Source organism: Homo sapiens, chromosome 16, assembly GCF_000001405.40.
Source record: "Homo sapiens chromosome 16, GRCh38.p14 Primary Assembly".
In the NCBI taxonomy this organism is placed as follows: domain Eukaryota; kingdom Metazoa; phylum Chordata; class Mammalia; order Primates; family Hominidae; genus Homo; species Homo sapiens.
The window spans coordinates 49,089,768-49,115,398 of record NC_000016.10 but is presented as its reverse complement, the minus strand read 5'-3'; the positions used below and the strand labels follow the sequence as shown (position 1 = coordinate 49,115,398).

Below are 25,631 nucleotides of genomic sequence, written 5' to 3'. Positions count from 1 at the left end.
CACCTCAGGGGCTGACCTATGTGAACTACATGGTCCGACTCCCCTGCCTCCTGGCTTCTGCTTGCATTTGGCTGATGAAAGCTGCCAATGAGGATAGGAAGATGGGAGGAGCAAGAGGCGAGGCTTTATTCCTCGTTCTCTCCTGCCAGGTCATTGTGGCTTGGCCCCGCAGGACACCTCTCCCATCAGGTGGCTCTTCCTTTACATTATTCTCCCCAGTTTGGGGAACTGCCAGCTCCCTTTGCTCCTTCATGCCTCTGATGGGGGGATGCGGGTGGGGGTATTGGCTCCCTGCTTTGGCCAGTCCTGGATACCATACTATCCTTTATTAGTTTCTCTAAACTTTGTAAACAAGTCTTGTTTCAGAGTATTAATAAAATACTACGAAAATAACCCCATCTGGGTAAGCCATTTCTTGACCACCAGGACTCCAACTGTGGCAGGGGTCTTTAGGAACGTCGGGAGTGAGTACAACACAGCCCTTGTACCCAGGAGCTTACAATGGAGTTGGAGACATGAGTCACAGATAGAAATGGGACCAGACTTTCTGTTAATCCAAGGCTGCTATGAGGCATCCTTGATTCAGAAAAAGGATCAATATGGGCTGCAACAACAGGGGAGGCTTCTGAGAGGAGGTGGTGGCTTGGGTTGGGTCTCAGTATCGTCCATGTTTAGGGAAGTAGGGAAGAGGTGGTGGCATGTTGGGTAGGAGAATAGCCTAAGCAAAGAGCAGGGGATCAGGAACACCCGGGGCATGCAGTTTCAACTATAAACTCCACTGGCCTGATGGGAAAGGAAAGTGGAGGAGGAAGAAGGGAAGCATTTGAAGAGGTGGAGGAGGCATGATGAGTCTGGACTTGGTGAGAATGAAGAGAACCACAGTCTGTGCGAATATCTCATTCTCTCTGTCCAAGGAGCAGGTGCAGCTTCTTTCAGGCTTATTGTCTGAAAGAGCCGGCTGCCCTGGAAGAGCTGGCTGGACCGTTCTCATTATTGAGCCCTCAGATCAAATATCCCATCTCTTGAGAAGGCTTCTGTGGCAGCCAGCCTCCGAGGTGGCCCCAGTGACACCCACCTCTTGGTATTCACAATCTTGTGTAGTTACTTCCTGTTGAGTGAGGGCTGGACCTAGTGACTTGGGTCTAAAGAACAAAATAAGGTGTGTGTGTGCATGTGTGTGTGTGTTTCAGAGACTGTCATAAAAGACAGTGTGACATCTTCCTCTCCTGCAGATCATTTGCGCTGGGGAAAGCTATTCCAGCTGTCCCGTGCAGAGACGTGCTTGGCAAGGAGCAGAAGTTGCAGGCCAACAACTGCATGTGGGGGCAAATCCACCAGCTTCAGTCAAGCCTCGGATGACTGAGCTCCCAGCTGACAACTTGATTACAGACTTGTGAGAGACCCTTAGCCAGACCCACTCCAGGTAAGCCACTTCCAGATTCCTGACCCTTAAAAACTGAGAAAACAAACATCTGTGATTTTGAATTGCTAATGTGTTGTACAAAAATAGCTGACCAATACACACCTTCTCTGACCACAAAAATTAAATCAGCACCTCCGTCTCCACCCTGCACCTCCTCTTACCATCACGCCATGCCCCAGCTTCACATGACCTGGTCGTTGCTCTCTCCGAGGGTCCTTCTCGTTCCTGTTTTATTACTTTACTGCTTCCCTTGCTGCTCCTTGAACCTGTGGGGCATGCCCCCACCTCACCACTTTTGCACCTACTGTTCTTTCTTTCCAGAAAATTTTTTCCCAGTTACATGCATGGTGTGCTTTCTCTCTTCCTTGAATTTCTCAGTGAGCCCTTCCCTGACCACTCTGTTTCAAAGTATAACCACATTCCCAATGCCTCCCTAGACTTGTCTCAATGTATCTTTCTCCATAGCATTTATCAATGCCAAACACAGCATATACTTCTACCCATTTATTCTTGTTTTTTGGTGTCTTTTTCTCACTAAAAGGTAAGCTCCAGGAGGCTAGGTATAACCAGCACTTAGAACAGTGCCTGGTGTATAATAGGTGCTCAATAAGTATTTGTTGAATGAATGATGATCACATTATTTTTTTCTGCATTTTGGCCCTCCTTGCCCCTTGGTATACATATGAGGGTGTAATTTTATGGGGAAAAAAGAGACTCGGCAGATGTAATAAATGTTACTTATCAGTTGACCTTAAGATAGGGAGATATTAATAATTGTGGATTATCCATGTAGATTCATACAAGCATATGAGCCCTTAAATGCGGAGAGTAAGGGCAGAAAAGGAAAGCAGCAAGATTCCAAGCATGCACAGTAGCTGATGAGAAGAGGTGTAGGGTCCATGAGATGAGAAGGAAGGCGGGCAGCCTCCAGAGGCTGACAGAGTGGCCCCAGGCTGCAGCCAGCAAGGAAGCAGGGACCTCTGTTCTGCAGCCACAGGGAACTGGCTGTTCTGCCAGCAGTCGGAACGAGCCTGGAAGATTCTTTCCAGAGCCTCCTGATAGGAGTCCAGATGGCTGACACTTTGATGTCGGCCTAGTGAGACTTGGAGCAGAGAGCTCACATGTGCCTTTCTGGACTTCTGACCTACAGAACAGTGAGATAATACATGTTTGTTGTTTTAAGCTGTTAGATTCATGGTAGTGTGCTGTGGCAGCACTACAAAACTAAGACAGAACACTCTTAATTATTGGCTGTTATGTTACTAGTTTGTTTAGTGTGAGCTCAGAGCTATTGTCTGTCTTGTAACCCCAGTACTTACAACAGTGCCTAGCACGGAGTTGAATAAATATTTGTTGTATGAATGAGTGAATGGATGGATGGATGGGTCTCTACTTTGCAATGGAGTGGGGGTGTCTGTTGGCTTGTCTAGGAGTTCACTAGATTGTGAGAATCTCAGGCACCAGGGTCAGTTGCATTCAACCGCACAACCTCAGTGCTCTGCCCTGACCTGCCTCAGAGTGGGCTACAGTACACCTTTGGCAAACTCATGGGCAGCCTAGGGCCAAGCTACAAGGAAAGAGCACACAACACTGGCAAAATAGCCTGACTCTGTATGCAAAGTCCTTATCCCCGCACCCTGTAGAGTCAGATTCAAGACGAGGAAGACTTTGGTGACAGATTCAAATGCAGCTGAGCTTTTTACTAACTTCACTTTCTCTGAGCTTCAGTTTCAAGCTCTCAAGTGGAGATGATGATGATAATACCCACCTCCTAGGGCATTTTTATGAAGATTAATGAAACTGTACAAGTAGAAGACTTTGCACACAGTAGGTACCTAATAAATAGTAGTTCTTATTAGTTTGCCTTTTGTTGAATACTGCACCTTGGTGTTTTCTGGGGAAAGCTTCAGGTGAGTTTTTAGAGAATTTCACTTGAAATGGTTGACAAGTCTGGTCAGTGACATCCGCTTTGACTTCCACAATGAACTCCCCCAGCCCAACTCAATGTCTGTTCACACCAAAGGTGATCAGCTTGCTCTGGCCGCAGCCATCCAGGGACCAGATTTCCACAAAGCAAACACAACTGATGTTCATAGAAAGACAATGATCATAAAACACATGGCAAAAATGACAATGTTGAGTTGATCCATTTAGAAATGATGGAATGAAATGTATGGTGTTATCAAACACACACAGATACTCACACACAGACACACACAAATACACACAAACACACATATTTATACTCATACACACACACCCCTCACTGAAAAGGTTAAAGACAGTTAAACTATCATGGGAATGGATACAAAATATTGCATGGGGATTTAGAGGCAAGAAATACAAGGAAACATAATGCACTGTAAATTAAAGTCATTTATAAAGTGCAACTGGCACCCAGATAGAAAGGAAAAATGATTTGTCAGCAAAAGTGGGATGTCCTGTTATTTATTTACAGACTATTTCTATGGGACAGGAAAGAACATATTTATTAAGGGCTTGCTGGTGTACAAACACAAACATATTAATGCCGGGCACTGAGGACACCTACCTAATTATTTGTCTCAAACTGACTTTGTTCATTTGTTAGTTTTAAGCTCATGAGGCCCCTCTGGCATTCCTTGGAACGTCTGTTCTCCCACCAGTGTGGATCTCTTTAGCTCTAGGGCTGGCCTTGCCCTGCTCTGTGGACACACGGCATGGAAAAGGTTACTCCCAGGGGTTACCACAGCCTCCCCTGACTTACACAGCACTGCTACCCTCATTCAGCAACATTGACAGGGTCTGTGTGTTGAATTTTCTGCCCTGCCTCTCCAAGTGAGCATGGCTTTTGGTGTTGGAGGGGAGCCACTTCTGGCCTAAGGAGCTGTTGGTTTGATGTTTCTTCCTTACCTTCTGCATTCAAAAGGAGTATGTGTTACCTGGATATCACCTGGCCACTTGTGACCCTAACAGAAGCAATGAATAAATCTGGAAGCAAAAACAAACAGAGAAGCCAGAGAAGAAGGTGAGCTATATATTAGAAAACACTGCTTACAAAGAATAGGATGGTGTGGATGGTGAAAAGGGAAAGAAGAAAACACAAGAACCTCCAATACTCAGACTGGAGAGAGGACTTGGGAGCATTTTGAGAGGATTAAGTGAGAGTGTGTATGTAAAATATTTAGTACAGTTCTTGGCACCTAGGAGTGTTCAATACATGATAAATAATAATTATTATTATATACTAAAAATATTAACAATGAGAACTTGTACCTTTTAATAACCCTTCTGTTATCTAAGCAGTTTATCTGAATTTTAGAAGCACACAGAATGTTTATTATTATAAAGATCCTGCTTTCTAAAGCAATATTACCAGTTCAAGAATTGGAACCCAACTGAGACCCTATGGGGACAGTTGCACAGAAGAAATTTAAAACCAAACACCAGCTGTTGATATTTAAGAAGTAGGCATCTCCTGAGATCAAGGAGAAATGTAACATGTCACTGATGTGTCAGCTGATGTGAGGTAATTTGAAAAATTGATTAGGCAATTTTTCTACCGTACAATAGAAATATAAACATTCATTGCACCTCAGTGCAAGCACAAGTCAGTTCTGAACTCTGCAATGGATACTATCGTGAGTACCCTGGGAAGTATCCAAGTAAAAGTACAGAAAATTAGGATTCAAGAGACAAATCTCCACAACAAAGAAACTGTAGCAAAGAAAAAGATGACTTGCTTGAGTCCCTAGAAATGACGAAAGCTAGGGCCAGGAACCAGACTCCATGCTGCTAAAATCCTAGATGTACTGGCATTTATTTCTTTCTGTCTGACCAGTTTCCCTTTTCCCTTCAATAGCAACATCACCTCCTAACTTTCTTTATAGAATCACACTTCTCCCATTTTCCGTCCATGTGTTTCAAATGCAGCTGACTCCCCCCAACTCCAGAGAGAAGCAGGTGAAGCAGGTGTCCCAGGCCTAGCCAACCAGAGCACCATGACAGTGACAGGCTCAGGAAGAAGCACACAGTCCAAGTGGAGTCAGCAAGGTTTGGTTCCGGGACTTTTGTTGAAATTCTTGAAAACAGAAAATCTCCCATTCTAAAGAGATCGTCTGGGAGCCACCAAAAAAATTCTATTTGAGAATGGACATAAGACAAGGAAAACTGGAACTGAGAGACAGTGTGAGGTCAGGTCCTGATACAATTATTGAAGCTTCTGGATCCAGCAGAGCTTGAAACCAGTCATAGTACTAGAAAGAGGAACTGATAGATAGGTAGATAGATAGATAGGTAGGTAGACAGACAGACAGACAGACAGACAGACAGACAGATAGATAGATAATAGGTAGATAGAGAGGTGGCAGATAGATAGTAGATAGGTAGATAGATGATAGCTAGATACACAGACAGACAGACAGATAGACAGATAGATGATAGGTAGATAGATAGATGATAGGTAGGTAGATAGATAGAGATGGATAGACAGATGATAGGTAGGTAGATAGAGAGATGATAGGTAGATAGATAGATAGAGATGGATAGACGGATAGATAGATAATAGAAGAGTAGATTATAGATAGGTCGATAGATAGATGATAGATAGGTATAGATAGATATATGGATAAATAGATGATAGATAGGTAGATAGAAAGAGATGGATAAATGGCTAAATAGATAATAGATCGATAGATAGATGATAGATAGGTAGAGATGGATAGATGGATAAATATATAGATGATAGAAAGATAGATAGTATGTAGATCGATAGATGATAGAGATGGATAGATAGATAGATAGATAGATAGATCAATAGAAATAGCTTATGCTGTCTTGGGTTGGTGTCATTTATTTGTACCTGAATGAATCCTAACTAATATAAAATATAAATCCTTTCCTCTTCTGATACACCACCCTGCCTCTTAAATGTTGTCCTTTGAGAAAATACTATGGTACAGTAACCACTAAATACTTGAGTGTATCTCCCTAGGGAGAGTCCTCCCATGTAAGTCTAGCACCTGTGCTTGTGGGAGATGCTAATGAGGTGCACTGGCCCCCATGCAGACCTGGCTGTGGGGAGGAGGAAGGATGATGGGGAGCAGAGGCCAGAGAGTGCCTACAGGCAGGAATGAGCAGACTTTCCTGCATGCCTGGCAATGACATGGCACCTTAGCAGTGAGAGCTGTCAGCTTAGGCATCAGCTGTGCCACAGCAGCCTTCATCGGAAAAGGCATCTTAACAGGAAACAGTGAAACCACCTCTGAGGTGGCTGTGAGTGTCATGACTGAGACGTAGAGGGAAAGTGGCCATCCTGCATGGAATAGCAGGAAATCAGGAGTTGCAAGATCCAAAGTCCGGGGTGGGATACTGCTTGCTGATAGGGGCCTTGGAAAAGTCTACAGCTCCAAGTTCCCAGCCCGTAAAATAGGAATAAAGATACCTTCTTACCTCTTGGGATTTCCTGAGGCTCAAATGTGGCCAATAATAGTAGTAAAGAATGACATTTTCTGTTCATTGATGTGTCAGCTGCAGTGTTTAGCATCTTGCCTACCTTTCCTCATTGAAACTTCACAAGATCCCTATGAGGTAGGCCATGTTGTTATGCACATTGTGCAAATGAGAAAACTCAGGCTTACAGAAATTTAATGATTTTCCCAAGGTCATACAACAAATGAGTGGCAGAGCCAGGATCTGAACTCACAGTGCGAATCCAGGGCTGTACCCTACTGTTTCCTAATGTGGTCAGAGAATATAGACCTTGAATAAGGACCTTGAAGATGCAGACAATGGGAGCTAAATGTTCACAGTGTGCTGTGTTTGGATTAACTCTTTCTATTTTCCATTAGGTTTTCTGTTATTAACACAATGACTCTTCTCTAAAAAGCTCTGGCATCTGGGATAAATTACTGTCTTTGTCCAAGCAGATGAGTTGTAATAAACAGCCTTAAAATCTCAGTGGCCTAGCACACTGGAATTTTATTTCTTGCTCACATAATGCACTGTAGGTGTTTGGTTGTTGACCTTCACGTGCTGATCCAGGGACACAGAGTCCTTCTATCTTATAACTTTAGCATCCTCTGTGGCCCTGGAGTGGCCTGCTGCATCCTTTAAATTCAGCTGGAAGAGAGGAGAAGAGAGAGAAAATAGCATATGGAAAGGTTTTTATGGGCCACTAGGACAGACACATTCACTTTACGCACACTTCCTTGGCCAGAATTCAGTCATGACTACATAACTACAAAAGAGACGGGTGTGTGCTCAGGAGGAAATGGGTTTTGTTGAACAAATAGAAGTCAGTGCCACATGTATGAAATAACCATTTTTCTAGCTTACAAAATTTTTGATGATTTTATTGATTTCATGTCCTCTGTCTGGACTGCCCAGGAACCAGGGCAATCAATGTCTTTGACTCAGCCTCCACATGGATACCTTGAAGAAGACATAATTCATGAGAGAAAGGAAAACAATACTTCATCCCAGTGAAGCCTTTGATAATCCCCTCTCTAGTGGATGCTGGGATGCGCCACCCAGGTTCCTATCGGACAAAGGTGCTCATCCCCCCATTGCTGGAGTGTCGTTGGCTGACAGATATCAGCTGAGATGCTCTCCAGAAGTTGTCCTCAGATGAAGAGAGCTGTCTCACCCAAGGTTATGACCTCTTCACAGGAACAACTTCCAGACAATGACTCCATTATGTGGGATATAAAGACCCAATCCCCTTGCCTCAAAGTGAGGCAAAGAGGGTGCTCCCAGCCCCAGAGCTCCTGTGGGGTTAACTGAAGCTAATTGATGCTAACTGTGGCTGCATCACAGCCCAACCTATCCTTTTGAACAATCCTACTTCTTCCCCTCCCCAACAGATGTGGTTCTGAAGATCCTCCTCAATCAGCTTCCTCTGGGGAAACTCTATTTCAGAGTCAGTTTCCTTAGAAACCGAGCCTAAGACAATTGGTGTCAAGAGTGGTTTAAAGAAGCAGACCCCAAAATGGAGTTTTGGAGCTGGATCCCCTGTTAACCACCTGACAGTGAGAACACCGCCACTGGCTGAGGGGTGAAGCATGGATAATGCTGGAGCAATGCAGTTATTAAAACTCCCCAGTGCTGAACAAGGTGGGATAGTAGTGGAAGAGAATATCCTGGAAGGGGCATTGTCTCAGGCTTTTGAAAAGTGTAAGGGAAGTCATGATTATAAGGACTGTGGAATTAGATGGTTTTGTGTGTGTGTGTGTGTGTTTGTGTGTGTGTATCTATGTAGACAGAGTCTCACTCCATCTCCCAGGCTGAAGTGGCAGTGGCCCAATATCGGCTCACCGCAACAACCGCCTCCCAGGTTCAAGCGATTCTCGTGCTTTAGCCTCCTGACTAGCTGCGACTACAGGCATGCACAACCACACTCTGCTAATTTGGGGTATTTTTAGTAGAGATGGGGTTTCACCATATTGCCCAGGCTGGTCTTGAACTCCTGCGCTCAGGCACTCTTCCAGCCTTGGCATCCCAAATTGCTAAGCCGCCATGCCCTGCCTAGAATTAGATGGTTTTTGTGATAGTCCATGCATTAAGAAAAAACAATGAATGGCTGGCGGAGTTTGTAAAGGCAAAGTTGAAAGTCATATGGCATCTTTGGCTGTATGTAAAAGAGGCTTTCATCCTTTGTGACCAAATGACATAAAAAGCTAAGGATCAAGCCCCATATTTAATTAATAGAGCATCAAGGACTAGTGGTGGTTTAATTCTCAACCTTGACAAATCTGCTTTACAAGGGTCAAGTTTAGGAAGGAATGGGACACTAAGATAAGGGATGTGGGAACATCTGGTTGAGGCATTCAAAAGTCTTGAATCCACAGATCCTTCTTAATACCCTGAGCTGAAAGAAGGGGTCCACTCCTCCCCATTAAAGACTAGCACCTCCTTGGTACCAAAATCTGTCTTAGTCAGCTTGGACTTCCATAACAAAATACCATAGGTTGGGTGGTTTAAACAACAGAAATTTCTTTTCTTACAGACTGAGATCAGGGTGCCAGCATAGTCAGGTTCTGGGGAGGGCTCTCTTCCTGGCTTGCAGACAGCTGCCTTCACACTGTGTCTTCATGTGATGGAGAGAGAGAGAGAGAGAGAGAGAGAGAGGAGATTATCTTCCTCTTTTTATAAAGCCACCAATATTATCAGATTAGGGTCCTACTCTAATGGCATCATTTAACCTTAATTACTGCCTAAGAGCTCTATCTTCAGATACAGTTACATTCAGGGTTAAGGCTTCAACTCATGAATTTGGGGTGGGGGGGCGGGTACACAATTCAGTCCATAGCAGTCTCCTCGCTTGATGATTATGTAGAAGCCCCTGCTTTGCATGAAAACATACACTGCCTCCTCCCACCTCAGGATCTACCCTCACCTCATCTCCTTGTCACCAGACAAATTACTAGGGTTAAGTTACAAATGAAAAAAAGTCAGCAGAGGAAACCCTGGGCCTGCTAAGAGAGGACAGGCATATATCTTGAAGGAGCCATAGGACCTGGCAAACGTATTCCAGCAGGAGATAGAAGAGTATGAATGAGACTGGATACTGAGGGTCCCGGGTCAAAGGGACAGTTGAATAAGGGAGAACTTATCAATATGGGAACACAAAAGACTGTAACACACTCATGTGCTGCTCTTGGAAGCATGGACAAAATCATGGTCCAAGTTACATAAAAATGATAGAACTTCTAGGATAATTCTGAATGAAGGGATCAAAAAGCTTAAGGAAGTTGGCAAGCTGGAATTGATATATTACCTAAAGCCAAAAATCCATCAGCCAACTATGCTCTGCAGGTGGGACCAGAAGGCACTCTATTTACAAAATGAAAAGGAATGCACTGGTGAGAGGGGCATGAACATTGTTGAGAAGTCCAGTGATGGCTGACTTCTATAGTCCAGGGTAACGGTAAGAAATGCTGTCATTAGCCTATCATATTTCCTTGATAGCAGTAGGGTTGATGCCAACAGAATCTCCAGTCAGCAGAGGTGAGATGGCAGTACTCAGCCATCAGAAGCAAGGAAGATGCAATTATTGTAGTAAGTGACAAGGTCAGGGCCTTGACCCTCTGAGAGATATGAAGATGGTTAATAGAACCCAGCATTCCTATTGATGAGATAGATGGACAGCCAACAACTACATTGCTCAACCTATACAATCAAAAGAAATGAAGAATGAATGATCAGGAGGCTGAGAGCAATTGTCACAATAAAAAATTATAGTCCACAGAACAGATCTGCATCTGACTAGTTTTTAGACCTGTAACTGACTTAAGGGGAGGCCAGGGCTCCAGGAAGAAGTATTCTGTAATACAAGGGCAGGTATATATGGAAATGATTCACACAGCTCTTTTAAAAAGGGTCCTGGCCGGGCGCGGTGGCTCACGCCTGTAATCCCAGCACTTTGGGAGGCCGAGAGGGGCGGATCACGAGGTCAGGAGATCGAGACCATCCTGGCTAACACGGTGAAACCCCGTCTCTACTAAAAATACAAAAATTAGCCGGGCATGGTGGCGCGCGCCTGTAGTCCCAGCTACACGGGAGGCTGAGGCAGGAGAATGGCGTGAACCCGGGAGGCGGAGCTTGCAGTGAGTCGAGATCACGCCACTGCACTCCAGCCTGGGCGACAGAGTGAAACTCCGTCTCAAAAAAAAAAAAAAAAAAAAAAAAAAAAAAAAAAAAGGGTCCTATGACCATTTAACAGTCACTCTAAAGAAAAGAGAATGTCAAACATTGGAGTTAGACACAGGGTTGGAGTTGACATTGCACCAGCAACTCAAAGCAACATTATAATCCTTCTATTAAGTGAGAGTAGCTAGGAACCAGGTAGTAAATGCAGTCTAACCCAGTTGTAGATCATATTGGGTTAACTGGGTCCACAGTTTCACCCAGGGGTCATTTCCCCACTTCGCAAATATATAATGCCAACTGACATATTTGGTAAATAATAGAGCCACCATACTGGTTCCTATGCTTGTGGAAAAGCCAAGTGGAGGCCACTGAAACTGTCCCCCAATATAGTAAATCAAACAATATCACAAACCAGGTGACTGGCATAAATAAGTGCTACCCTTAAAATCTAAATGACGCAGATGTGGTGGCCCCCATAATATTCTGGTTCATAGGTCTGGCTCCTAAAAAAGCCATACAGATCTTGGAAAATGAAAATATACCATGGAAACTCAACCAGACAGTAATCCCAATTGTAGCTGTTATGCCAGATGTGGTATATTTGCCAAAGTAGATTAACCTAGTCTCTGATACATAGCATGGTCCCATGTGTTTGGTGAATGAGTGTACTCTTCTTCGTTCCCATAAGTTTTCACTCAGTTAGGGCAGGAAATAGTATTCATTTACGGTCATGCCCCAGGGCTATGTTAACTCTCCCACCTTCTGTTATAATTGAGTGTCCGGAGGGATATAGATCATTCTGACATTAACAGAACATCATATTGGTTCACCAAATTGATGACATCATATTGATCATACTAGGTGAGCAAGAACTGGCAAATCCATTGGAGGCACAGGTACTCAAAAGAGTGGAAAATAAACCCCTCAAAGTTTCAGTCCTACAATATTAGTGAACATTTTAGGGGTCCAGAAGTTTGAAATATGCTGGGACATCTCATCCAACTATAAAAAGAAATATTGCATCTTCCTCTTCTTACAATGAAGAAAGCACAAATCCCAGTTGGCCACTATGGGCCCTGGAGGCAGCATATTTTAAACGCTGATAAATGCTACCACCCATTTATCAGGTAACATGAAAGGCTGCTAACTCTGGGTAGAGCCAAGAGCAGAAAAGGCTCTTCAGCAAGTACAGGCTGTAGTGTAAGTAGCTCTGCCACTTGGGCCATATGACTCAGCCGACCCTACGGTATTAGAGGTAGCGGTAGTGGCTCTCAGGATTTCACTTGGAGTTTGTGTCAAGTTTATCAACTCTTAGAGTTTTAGAAAAAAACCATGACATCGGCAGCAAAGAATTATACACCATCCAAAAAAAAAAATACTTCTGGTGTGCTGCAGGCCTCTGGCAGGGATGAAGCTCCTGAACATGGGATACAAAGTGAGCCTATGGCCAGGACTGGTTATTGGTGGAGCAGACCCAGGAGCAATCCAATGTATAATTGAAGTGGCACTTTCAGACATTATCAGAGACAGAGGTACAAGTAGACTGCATAAGTGTGACCCAGACCCCCACATTATTAAAACTGTCGCACTGACACATCTCCCTTTGTTTATACATACAGCCCCATAGGAAGGTTTTTATAACCAGGGACAGAGGAGGAAAAGGCTGAGCTTGGTTCATGGATGTACTTACTCATCAGGTCACTGTGAGTCAAAAATGGATTGCCACTTAACTACAGCCTCATGTAGGGGTGTCTTTGTAATACAGAAATTCTCCCAATTGGTGGAATGTTGAACATTGCACTAGGTTTAAATGGAAAGAGAAGTGGCCTGAAGTAAGAGGGTGTGTATTTATGGACTCATGCATGGTGGCAAATGTCTGACTTAGGGATCTGGAGGGAGAAAAATGGGAAGATCATAGTCAAAGGGGTTGAAGGAAGAGGCATGTTGCTATAAATAAATAAATATGAAGTTTGACGGTCTTTGTGCATCATGTGAATGCTCATGAGAGAACATTCACCATGAACAGGCTACTAAATAACCAAATAAACAGAAGGACATGTCATCCAACTATAAAAAGAAAACCCAGTCTCTGCCATCAGCTGCCAAAGTGCTGGCACACTAATGGAGGAACCACATGGCAGGGACTGAGGCTATGCATGGGCCCAACAGGACTGAGGCTATTCATGGGCTGTCACTCACCAAGGCTGATCTTGCTACTGCCACTGCCAAATGTCAACTTGCCAGCAACAAAGACTGATACTGAGCCCCCAATGTGGCACCATCCCTTGAGGAGACCAATCATCCACCATAGGCAAGTTGATTACCTTGGACCTCATCTCCCCAGAAGGATCAGTGATTTGTCCTGACTGTACATGACACATATCTGGGTAGCAGTTTGCCATTCCTCCTCTCAAGATCTCAGCCAATATCACTATGTGAGGCTTATGAGTGCTTGATCCATTGACATAGGACCCTACATAATACCACCTCTAAACAAGGCTCCACTTTATAGCAAAGAAGTATGGGAATGGATCCATGACCATGGGATTCACTGGTCCTTTCAAAACTGGACCTGTCGGAAGTTTCCACCAGGAAGTCACATGAGGGTTTTTTGAAAGCACAATTGAGGCAGTCCCTTCACCCCTGAGAAGATGGGACATTATCCTCTAGGTCACAATAGAAACCCCAAATTAATGGCCATTATGTGATGCTCTGTCTCTAGTAGGTGGAACCCAACGATTTGAGAACTAAGGGCTGGAAGCAGAGGTGGTCCTACTTGCCATGGCCCTCAGTGGCCCTATTGGGGAATTTGTGCTTCCTGCCCCATGACTCTGGGCTCTGTGTGGCTAGAGGTTCTCATTCTGAGAAGTGAGATAAATGTTTCCACTAGGTGACGCAGCATGCGGTCTAGGCCCATCCAACTCTAAAGCTGCAACTTAGTCACTTTGAGCTCCTCAAGCTGAGAGACAAGCAGTCAAGCAAAGGAGACCATTCTGGCAGGGATGTTGACCCAGATCATCAGGTGGGGGTCATGCTGATGTCAATATGAAGGCGGAAAATAATATGTTTGGCATCCAGGTGATTTATGTCTCTTGGTACCTCCTATCTCAATTTTTGATGGTAAGTGAACAACTACAACATTCTAATTTGGTTAGGATATGGGACCTCTCAGGGACAAGGGTCTGGGTCACCAACCAGGTAAGTCACCTAGACCAGCAGAAGTGCTCATCCAAGGATAAGGGGAATCTAGAATGGGTAGAGAAGGGAAGTAATGAGTATCAGGTGTGAGCAAAACAGACCAATTGGAATTTTGGAGAAACTGTTCCTAGAACTTATTGTGTAAAGAAAGTAAATTTGAATGGTGCAAGAAATGATCTTTTGTGGTTCTGTGGTGCTTGGCTCAGATTTCCCCTTCAAGATGAAGGCATGTGTTCTCTACTGCTGGGAGTTTTGGAGGCTAATGGATATCAGCTGAGTCCCTTTCCAGGAATCACCCTTAGCCAAAGAGAGGTAACTTACCCTATATCACATACCACCTGGAAAAGGAGGGGTGCAGCCTGCATTCAGTGACATGTTAATAGGGATATAGCAGCCCCAATCTTGCTGTCTTTATTCTTCTACAGATGTTGATCCCTAGGTCACTCCCTGATCAACTTCCTGCATGCATATCTCTGTCTTATAGCTTACCAGCCAGGGAACCAGACCTAAGACAGTCTCATCCATTATTCAGTTCTGTGAAATCCATTTTGTAAGCCAGGGAGTGGGAGTCACATTACCAGGGGAGACTTGAGAACTGCCCCCATGACATTTTTCCTACACTCTTGTGAATGGCCCCTTCTGTTCTCTTCTTATGGGCCCACAAGAAGTCACAAGACTCCACTCACAAGCCTAGAAAATGCAGACATTCCTAAAAATCTTGGCACCAAGGTATCTCTTGGCTTCTTTCTCTCAGGTCTAATATTAGTTGGACAAAATAATAGAAAAATCCATAAATCTAACATATTGGCTGATAAAAAGTGAAAGGCAAATTTTCTAGGTGCGAAAAATGAATTGTATATTAGTATTATTATTCAGAAGCTCTCGCAAAAATTAGTAAATTCTGAAATCCATGGTGGTAATAGAGAAGAATTGGTGACCGAATCAATGCTTTGATTCATCGTAGTCCAGAATCCCTCTCCAGCACAGTTCTGATTGCAAGATACCCAATATCTTCAAACATTTCTAATTTGAGCTTCATGGCTCAGATAACGATTTTGTTTTCTTTAATCCAGCGTTTCCTCTGTGGGGAAGCAGGGGATTCTTCTTTGAATTAAATTAAATTAAATGAAACTTTTATAAAATTGGCAAACATGTAGGAGAATAAAACTGGATCCTCATCTCTCACCTTACACAAAAATCAACTCAAGATGGATCAAGGACTTAAATCTAAGACCTGAAACTATAAAAACTTCAGAAGATAACATCAGAAAAACCTTTTTAGACATTGGCTTAGGCAAAGACTTCATGATCAAGAACCCAAAAGCAAATGCAACAAAAACGAAGATAAATAGGTGGGACTTCATTAAGCTAAAGAGCTTCTGCACAGCAAAAGGAACAGAGCAGAGTAAACAGACAACCCACAGAGTGGTAGAAAATCTTCAAAATCTATACATCTGACAAATAACTAATATCCAGAATCTACAATGAACTCAAACAAATTAGCAAGAAAAAAACAATCTCATCAGAAAGTGGGCTAAGGACGTGAATAGACAATTCTCAAAAAAAGACATACAAATGGCCAACAAACAAAAGAAAAAAATGCTCAACATCACTAATTATCAGGAAAATGCAAGTCAAAACCACAATGCAATACCACCTCACTCCTGCAAAAATGGCCATAATCAAAAAATACAAAAGAAAAAATTGATGTTGGCATGGATGCAGTGAAATGGGAGCACTTCTACACTGTTGGTGGGAATGTAAACTAGTACAACCACTATGGAAAACAGTGTGGAGATTCCTTAAAGAACTAAAAGTAGAACTACCATTTTATCTGGCAATCCCACTACTGGGTATCTACCCAGAGGAAAAGAAGTCATTATACAAAAAAGATACTTGCACATGCATGTTTTAGCAGCAAAATTTGCAATTACAAAACTATGGAACCAGCCCAAATGCCCATTAATCAACAAGTGGGTAGAGAAATTGTGGTATATATATGATATATATATATGATATATATATGATATATATCATATATATATGATATATATATGATATATAGGATATATAGGATACATATGATATATATATGTGTGTGTGTGTGTATATATGTGATATCTTTTTTATATATATATGAGGGGATACTACTCAGCCATAAAAAGGAATGAATTAATGACATTTGCAGCAACCTGGATAGAACTGTAGACTATTTTTCTAAGTGAAGTAACTCAGGAATGAGAAACCAAACGTTGTGTGTTCTCACTCACAAGTGGGCGCTAAGCTATGAAGATGCAAAGAAATAAAAAATAAAAAGAATCTATCTAATAAAATTTTAATTTTAGATTCAGATGGTACATGTGCAGTTTTGTTACATGGGTATATTGCATGATGCTGAGGTTTGGGGTATGAATAATCCCATTGCCCAAGTAGTGAAAATAGCACTCAATAGGTAGTTTTTCAACCCTTACCCTCCTCTCCTTCCTTCCCCCTATTTGGAATCTCCAGTGTTTATTGTTCCTATCTTTGTGTCCCTGTGTACCCAATGTTTAGATCTTACCTCTAAGTGAGAACACTTGGTATTTGGTTTTCTGTTTCTCCATTAATTTGCTTAGGATAATGGCCTTCAGCTGCATCCATGTTGCTGCAAAGGACATGATTTCAATCTTTTTATGGCTGTATAGTATTCCATGGTGTATATGTACTCATTTTCTTTATTCAGTTCACATTTGATGGGCCCCTGGGTTGATTCCATGTCTTTGATATTGTGAGTAGTGCAGGATAAACATACAAATGCAGGTGTCTGCTTAGTAGAAAGATTTATTTTCCTTTGGATATGTACCCAGTAATGGGGTTGCTGGGTTGAATGGTAATACTATATTTAGTTCTTTGAGAAATAGCCAAACTGGGAGCAGGACTTCTGACACAGATAAGCTCACTTACAAGATATATATACTTGAACTCTGCCAGATCCTACACCAAGCACAGAGTTACCGAGGTGAACTGTGCCCTTGATCTGGAAAGAATACTGCCAAGAGCTGTGGCTTCAGAGCTAGGATTGTCCATCTCTGTGTCCTGAGAGGCTTAGGGACCTTTCTGTTCACAAGACATGGAAAGTACTTTCCACAGTGACTCTTGGTGAATCTTTAAAGTTGTAAAGAGCTGAATAAACGCACTAATCTTCCAGCACAATAGTCACTTTGGGACATACCTCTCAGATCGGCCCTTGAATTTTATGTTGGTCTAGCCTGGGAAGGCAGAGGACCTATGACAGTACAGACACAACACTCAAAGCTCTTTCTCTCCCTGTATAATCCAGGGACCTTGATTATGAAGAGTCAGCCTGCCTTCCCAGCACACAAGTTATTAGGTCCTGTGTGGTGCTCTAAGATCCTTTGTGGCATAATCAGGCAGGCAAGTACTCATGTCCTTATTTCATTTATGTTTTGATTTAAAATTTTAACATGAAAGAAAAAATACTATCTTATGTAACTGAAAAGTCTGGAGCACCAGGCTGCAGCCAAGGCTGTATCCAGGTATTCAAGTGATGTCACTGGGAATTTGCCTCTATCTCTCTCTTGGCTCTGCTTGGCTCTGTGCTGCCTTCATTTCCAGGTTTTACCCACATGGGGTAAAGATGGTCCCCAGCAGTCCCTGGCTTACATGGTCCATGTGTCTCCAACTGCCCACTGTCTCCTGTTGCCTCATACACCTTCCTGATTCCTAGTCTTTGGTTCCTTTTGAATAACTATTTATTTCTCATGTCAGATCTCATCATTTATTTTGACCTCATGCCATAACCCCAGTGTCCTTCAGGCTAAGTCGGAGAGGTCTCTGGGTTTCTGTTTAATTTAGTCCACATGTTTTAAGTTGGATAGATGGAATATTAGTGACTATAATTCCTCCTTGCAGGAGAAATTCCACTTTGTTCTTTAACTATGTTTGCTCAATACAGGGTGAAATCCATATTCTCATACGGCACTATTTGAAGTGAGAATGGAAGACAGATGGGTGGATTTGAAGATTTGAAAGGGTGGATGGTCTGATACAGGTGCTGCCCTGGTCCTTGCTCTTGCAGTGGTGTGCCCTTTACTATGCAAACCTATCATTGTCTGCTGGCTAGCAGAGCAGTGGGTCACATTGTGCAGCGATTGGTATTTGCTTAAGAGAAATCTCCCCGACTGACCCAATTCCTGTAATGCATAAAAAAATGACAGAAGTAATACTTTTGTTCTTGTTTCACTTTCATTCATCTTATTTGATCAGGGCTGAGAAAAACTGACATCTCATCAAACTCCAAAGTGTGTTTCAGCGCCAGGTTCACTGGAGGGTGGCATTTAAAACACAGACATTGCAGGAACAAATGTATTTGCCAATCCTGTCCAGCAATGTAAACCTGACCTTTCTCCTGTAGATTTATTGACACGAGCCTGTTTTGTATCATATTTCATTATTGTGCATGGAAGGATTGAAAGTTCTTCTCTTGGAAAACAACTCAGTTGGGGCCAGAGTGGCCAATATGCCTTCCCTTCATAGAGAGAAAAGAGGAATTCGTTAATCCTGGCAGGATTAGCACAATTCCTCAAAGAGTGTCTTTAATTAAAAAATACCTGCTACTAGCAGTATAGGCCAAGAAGAAATTGGCATTTGGCATGTGGCAGGAGCAGAGGAATTACATCCAAGGTGATTGTCATTTACTTGTTGTGAGGTACATTACAGATTCCTTCCATCTGGGAGCCCTGGGAAGCGCCCCGCTCCCGCTCATTGCAGAAATCCATCTCTGAGAAATGCTCACTCAGTCTGAGCTATGACATGCTCTGTGTTAGAAGTCTATCACCTCACCCAGCCAAACAGCTGTAGAAATTATCCATTTGTGCATTCGTGAGACAAAATATCTATGTGTCTAGAGACTCCCCAGGTACTGTGCATATCATAGTGAACAAGAGAAATAATATCACTGTTTTCAGGGAGCTTCAATCTTGTGACTGTTGATAGTCTTTAAGTTAATAACTAAACAATTTAAATACAACAATTTTAGAAAGTGAGGAGCATTGGTTATTGTGTCTAACAGGGAAAGGTAATAGAGAACGGTTGTGGGATGGTGGGGGTGATGTGTGCACTGACTTCTGAGGTTGCGGGTGGGTATCGAGCTGAGATCTGATTAGGGAGATGGAGCTAGCCATGTAGAAGCTAGACCAGAGACTGTTTCAGGTACAGCATACCACAGGTGCAAAGGCCTGAGGTGGAAATGTGTTTGGCATTTTTGAGAAACAGAGGGAAAGCTAGTTAGTGTGGTAGAAGCTTCAAGAATGAGTAGAGGCAAGCTCTGGAATGAACCCACGAAGTGAGCAGGGACAGACCAGATATGCCTGCCTTGGGAGATCTAAACGCTGCAGTGGGAACTGTGAAGGTTGTTAAGCTGAGGAACCACAGAGGCTCATTTACACTTGCAAATGGTTACTCTGGCTGCAGGGTGGGAACTGAATTGTAGGGGAACAAGTCAGTAATAGCAGAAACCAACTGTATGGCTTTTGGAGCCAGTTCTAACAAGAGATGATAGTGCCTTGACCCCCATCTGATCTACTGAGCCAAAATGTGTGTCTGTAGAAATCAGTTCTTCCCTCCCTGCTTCTGTCACCATCCATGAAGACAGAGTGAATCTAGCCTTTCCCAACACTTGGTGACAGTGTTTACGATTCCCCATTATCTCCTCTTCTCTGGGTAAAGCAGTCCCATTTCTTCCAACTCTTCTCCACATGACACAATTTTAAATCTCCCTCATCACCCTTACCACCCATTCCTGGCTCCATGTCTCATTAAACGTAGAACCCAGCATGCAGCCACACACTTCATGTGTGGGTATTGCCATTTTGCAGCCAGTCTCTGCCCTAGGGAAGCCTTCCTTCACCCCACTATTAGCTCATGTGCACCAGGTAGAGTGGGCTCCATTCTTGGCTGAGAAACAGAATGCAAGACCTGAGTCTAAGCCAGTCAGTGCCTTCCATCCCTCATTGTGATTGATCCAGAGAGGACCACATAATTTAATCTGAATCAATGAGAGGGAAAGGGTATCTAGCTGGGAATGCTGGGCTCAGATTGTCATCCTCTGTCACTGAATTCAACTTGAAATATGGAGTCTTAGGAGCTTCAAGCTCCTAAGGACTGTGAAAAGAGAGCTTGTTTAAGAATAGACAACCATTCCAGTAAGTAGAGCTGAGAAATGAAGAAAGAGAGAATGAAGGCATGTCATTTGTACATAGGAATTAAGCACAATCTAAAGCCCAGTTCTGAATAATTCAATGAATCAATACATTTTCTCTTTTTCTGCTTGAGCCAATGGGTCAGGTTTTCTGACACTTCCTATCAAAAGAATTCTAGCTGATAGACCAATCAGAGAACAGTGGGGCTATCACCTCCCTTGAATAGATCATGATACCCCAATGGATGCAGCTGCAAGTCCTCACTGTTGTCAGCAGCTGTGTTGTCTTGTCAGCGCCTATTGTTTGAGCTTATAGCCAATGAGAGCTCACACTTTCCTGTTCAGCAGTTTCCTTCTCAATTTCTCTCTGAGACATCCTCTGAGGGTTTATGTAAAGCCCTTTTATGAATTTAGTATTTATTAGACCTCCCTCTTGCACTTGACACGTATCCATTTTTGCCTGAGTTGCAAACTCCTGAGAACCCAATACTATGATCCATTTGGGGGTAAACAGCAAAGAGAACCAATAAAACCTAACAAAGCTAAGTCTAATCATTGCCAAAAACACCCATTTGCCTCCCTAATGGGCCAAAGGGGAGGGGGCCGTGATATCTCAGTGCTTTTGCCTTTCACAATCGTTCCTGATGCCTAGAAAGCCTTCCATTAAGCTACACAGCAAAGCCATTTTTTAGGGGCCTCTGAGACTCATGTCTGTGTTTGTGGCTTTTGCAGCTTAAGTGGCTGAAGTCAGAGAGCAGCTCAGAAATGGGCCAACTGCCCTGAGGACAATGGAACCTGCAAGTCCAGCTCTCAGCCCTGCTGACAAAGTGAGGCATCATGGAAGAAAAAAGGAAACATCTAACTTTTGACCTTAGACAGGGCTTAGGATATAGACAGGGATGGTGCTAGCAGCTAGCTAGCTGGCTTACAGTACTCTAAGACGAAGGGCCAGAAGGGCCTTTTAGGGGCTGCTAGTCCTGTTAGGGAAACTGAGGCCTAAACAGAGCCAGACATTTTCCTCAGGTTACTCAGCAAAGTTAATGCCTGAATGACCCTAGGTAGAGTCAAGGTCTTCTGTTACTTCAGCCACTGTTCTTCCCAATGCACAGGGCAGGGTAGCAGAGTGGTTAAGAGTGGCACACACGGCTACTCGTTATATAGAACATTGGATCCTCTCTCTGGTTTCCTGGGGCTGGTGAGTTGGGCCATTCTGTGGATGAGGAGACTCCATATTCACATAAGGAACCCTGGAGACAAAAGCCCTAGAGATGAGATGGGGAGGGGCAAGTGGCTTCTGGCTCAGGAGATCAACATTCTAAACTTGACCCCATCACTCACTGGGCAGTGCAGAGCAAAGCACATCCATTTCGAGCCTCACTTTATTCAGCTGCAAAGTTGCATAAATAATAGCTAGCTCTTACATGTCAGATGCTGCCTTATTGCTTTACATTATAAACTTCATGAATCATGATAATAATTTTATGAGGTATTTGTTGTTATCTCCAATGTAAAGATGAAGAAAGTGAAGCACAGGCAAATTAAGTAATTGGGTCAAAATGATCCAAATCAAACCCAAGCAGTCTGGCTCCAGAATCCACTCTTAACCTCTATGGTAACTGCCAAAGAATAATAATAATTAATAGTAAAATAAGACTGGTAAATAATAAAATATAAATAATAATAACAATAAAGCAATGCATCTCCCACAAGCTTCTTGTGACGAGTCAATGAAAAGACCTGAATGTATTATTATGGCTTTTATTTTCTGTATTCTGATGCTTTGACATCTGAAGCTGACCCTGAGACTACCTCTTCCAGGGTTAGCCAATTCCTAGAGACTGCAAGCAGTTCACCTGAGGGTGTGCTCTTTATACACAAACCAACCAACCCAGAGTCCACACCTGCAATCACCTCCTTTATGGGGCTGTCACACTCTGGGTCACTATCCCTCTGCCTTAATCATCCCACAGTCCTGTGCCCCAGAGCCTGCTGAAATTATTCAAACTAGCCAGTCCTAAACCTGCCAACCCTGTTTTGCCACTTCTTTCCAGTGGAAACCACAATCAAGGCTGTTGCTGCCCTTCCTCACTGCCTCTGCCTCTTGACCCACCCTGGTGCCTCCCTGTGTGGCCCCTGTGCCATGGTATGCCCCCTCCTCTTGGGAACCATGAATAACGAGCTGTCTCTTTAGTGGCAGTCATCTCCTGATTTGCTTGCCTTGTTACCCCTTCTCACGAATAGTGCTACAAATGTAAGTTATTATCCATTTACCCTACCTGCAGGGGACAGAAATGATCAAGTGTTTACCAACTTTGCGCTCAGTATTTTACATATATAATTTCATCTAATCATCACTACTGCTACTATTAAAACTAGGAGGTTTTTTTAAATTTAGATTTGGGGATACATATGCAGGTTTACTACATGGTTATATTGTGTGATGCTGAGGTTTGGTCTTATATTGATTCTGTCACCCAAATAGTGAACATAGTACCCTATAGGCAGTTTTTCAACCCTTGCCTCCCTTACTCCTTTCTTTCAGAGTCCCCAGTGTCTATGGTTCTCATCTTTATGTCCATGTGCACCTAAACTTTTGTCCCTACTAGTAAGTAAAAACATGCAGTATTTGGCTTTCTATTCCTGCATTAATTTACTTAAAATTATGACTGCTAGCTGCATTCATGTTGCTGCAAAGGATATATTCTTTTGTATGGCTGTGTAGTATTCCAAGGTGTATATGTACACTACAGTGTATGTGGTGTATATGTAATGACAATGTACTACATTTCATTATCCAGCCCACTGTTGATAGGCATGTAGGTTGATTCCATGACTTTACTATTGTGAATAGTACTGCAGTAAACATATGAGTGCAGATGTCTTTTTGGTATCTAGTAATGGGATTGCTGGGTCAAATGGTAGTTCTGTTTTTAGTCCTTTGAGAAATCTCCAAACTGCTTTCCACAGGGTCTGAACTAATTTGCAATCTCACCTACAGTGTATAAACATTCCCTTCTCTCCACAACCTCGCCAATATCTGTTATTTTTTGACTTTTTAATAGAAGCCATTCCTACTGGCGTGAGATGGTGTCTCATGGTTTTGATTTGCATTTCTCTGATGATCAGTGATATTGAGCATTTTTTCATATGTTTGTTGGCTGTTTGTATGTCTTCTTTTGAGAAGTGTTTGTTCATGTACTTTGCCCACTTTTTAATAGAGTTATTTGTTTTTTTCTTGTTGAGTTGTGTAAGTTCCTTGTAGATTCTGGATATTAGTTCTTTATTGGATGCATAGTTTTCAAATATTTTCTTAAAACTAGGAGTTATTATTCCTACTTTACAGATAGGAAAACCGAGATTCAAGAGGTATAAGCAGCTTTATTGAGTCACTAAGTTTGTAGAGGGCAGTTTCCAAGTCTGACTCTTGGTTTTTTTGATCTTAAAGCTTCTCTTCTCTGCTCCACTCAAGAGCAGAGGACATTATGAAGTTTCTTCTAGAAGGAATGAGAAAACAAATAGGTTTCAATAGCAAAGACTCTGCTCTTTTCCTGCCTGTTTGCCTTCCTTTCTGGTGTGTTTCAGGAAGATTTTCTCCCTAAAGAGCTTCTTTGCCTTATATGAGCCTTTGCCTCTTCATTTATTAATTCCTTCTCCAGCTCATTCTCAAGACAGTGGGGAAAGCCTGGCTTTTAAATAACACATGCTTTAATTTCACCTTGACCTGGATCAATATTTCCACTTGTTCCAAACTGGCAACTTGTCCTCTACTGCCATCCCTAGGGCCATTTATCCTGCTTCTCGCTGCAATTCCCTTAGCTAAGACTGCTCGTTAGGCTCAGCTCATATTCCCAGGCCAGCGACTGGCAATTAGTATGGCATTCCCACATTCCATCTCCCCATGATATGTAACTCCAGCATGATAGACAATTCCTTTGGTGTGATCAAAAATCCAAAGAGTGAGCATTCAGATGGAGGAAGGCAGTCTTGGTTCTATTTTCCTGCAAGGTGGGTCTCAGACAATGCAGATAAGTATCAAGGAGGCAGGCACTGACTCAGTATGAGAAAGAGCTAGCTAAGAGTTAAGCTGGGAATTTTGAAGTTGGATTCTGTATTTACTATTTAGGTATTTATATTATGTAATGCTATTTTATGTATTTATCAAAGTTTCCTTAAGAAAACTTCCACCGCTTATATGGTCCTTTTGCTCTATGTTCAAAGAATCAAAAACGTAGATTCTTAGTTTCCTGGAATTGCAGGGTTAAGGATTATCATAGAAATCCAACTTCCTGCCCACCCCCACCCCCCCACTGGCATGACTCAAGAGTTGGTGTTCTGCTGCAGCAGTCCCTGTGATGAGGAACTCCCACCTCCCAGCCTCTTCTGAAAGGCAGGCCCTTTTCCACTCTTCGGTTACACTTCCCGAGTGGGGTCCCTTAGGGGTAATGCTTGAACTGTGTATTTAGAGCCCTCTGTCTGGTCTCACATTTGATGAGAACCCTTAGGAGTTAACGTATTTGAGGAGGCAGCATGTGCTACCACTCAGCAGAAGTGGGATGGCTTATCCAGGGGTAGGGCAAGAAAGGGCTATTATTTAGAGGTACCCAAATAATCTCCACCTGTACAATAGAAGCATAACATGTAGCACACAGAAGGTGACTGTCATGGTGCTTTTGCCTGCTCTCTATCCTCTCTGTGGTCTTAGCAGCTGTCTCTTGCTCTTGGGAACCACTTTCATTGCTGTGATTTCAGTAGGGTTGACAACACCCCTGACCCCTAAACCTCCAGTACCAGCACTGACAAATTGGACTATTGCAGTTTCTTTGGTTGGGCACATGACTGATTCAAGTCAATGATCAGCCCTAGGATTTTAAAATAAATAATTGGGAAAGAGGTGCCCTTTCCTTTGGGGAAGTTCAGCTGATAGGAAGTGGGTATGGGGTTGCTGGTGGCCCTATTTGTACCACATAGGCATAGCTTGCCTAAGAACAAAGCCAATGAAGAGGAAGAGCAGAGAGGAGATGGAAGACAATCCTCTTGTTGGCCTAGTTTAGACACCCAGATCTAGTTGAGCCTCAAATTAGATGCTCTGCATGACTCTCAGTTGTGTGAGCCATCACTGTCTCTTTTAGTCATGAGCAGTTTGAATTGGGTTTTGTCCGTTGGACCCAAAATAGTCTGTACTAA

General features: G+C 42.9%; 1 long non-coding RNA gene across 2 annotated transcripts in view; it reads left to right on the top strand.

The window, feature by feature from the left end:
* Positions 1–25,631, top strand: part of LOC105371241 (uncharacterized) — a 50,969-nt gene that overhangs the window by 7,337 nt on the left and 18,001 nt on the right. The window contains exons 3-5 of one of the 2 annotated variants that reach the window (XR_933517.3): positions 1,233–1,423; positions 4,332–4,430; positions 5,336–5,455. This is a non-coding gene — a long non-coding RNA (uncharacterized LOC105371241). The remainder of the gene's footprint in view (positions 1–1,232; positions 1,424–4,331; positions 4,431–5,335; positions 5,456–25,631) is intronic. The other variant, XR_001752138.3, reaches the window with a different exon arrangement.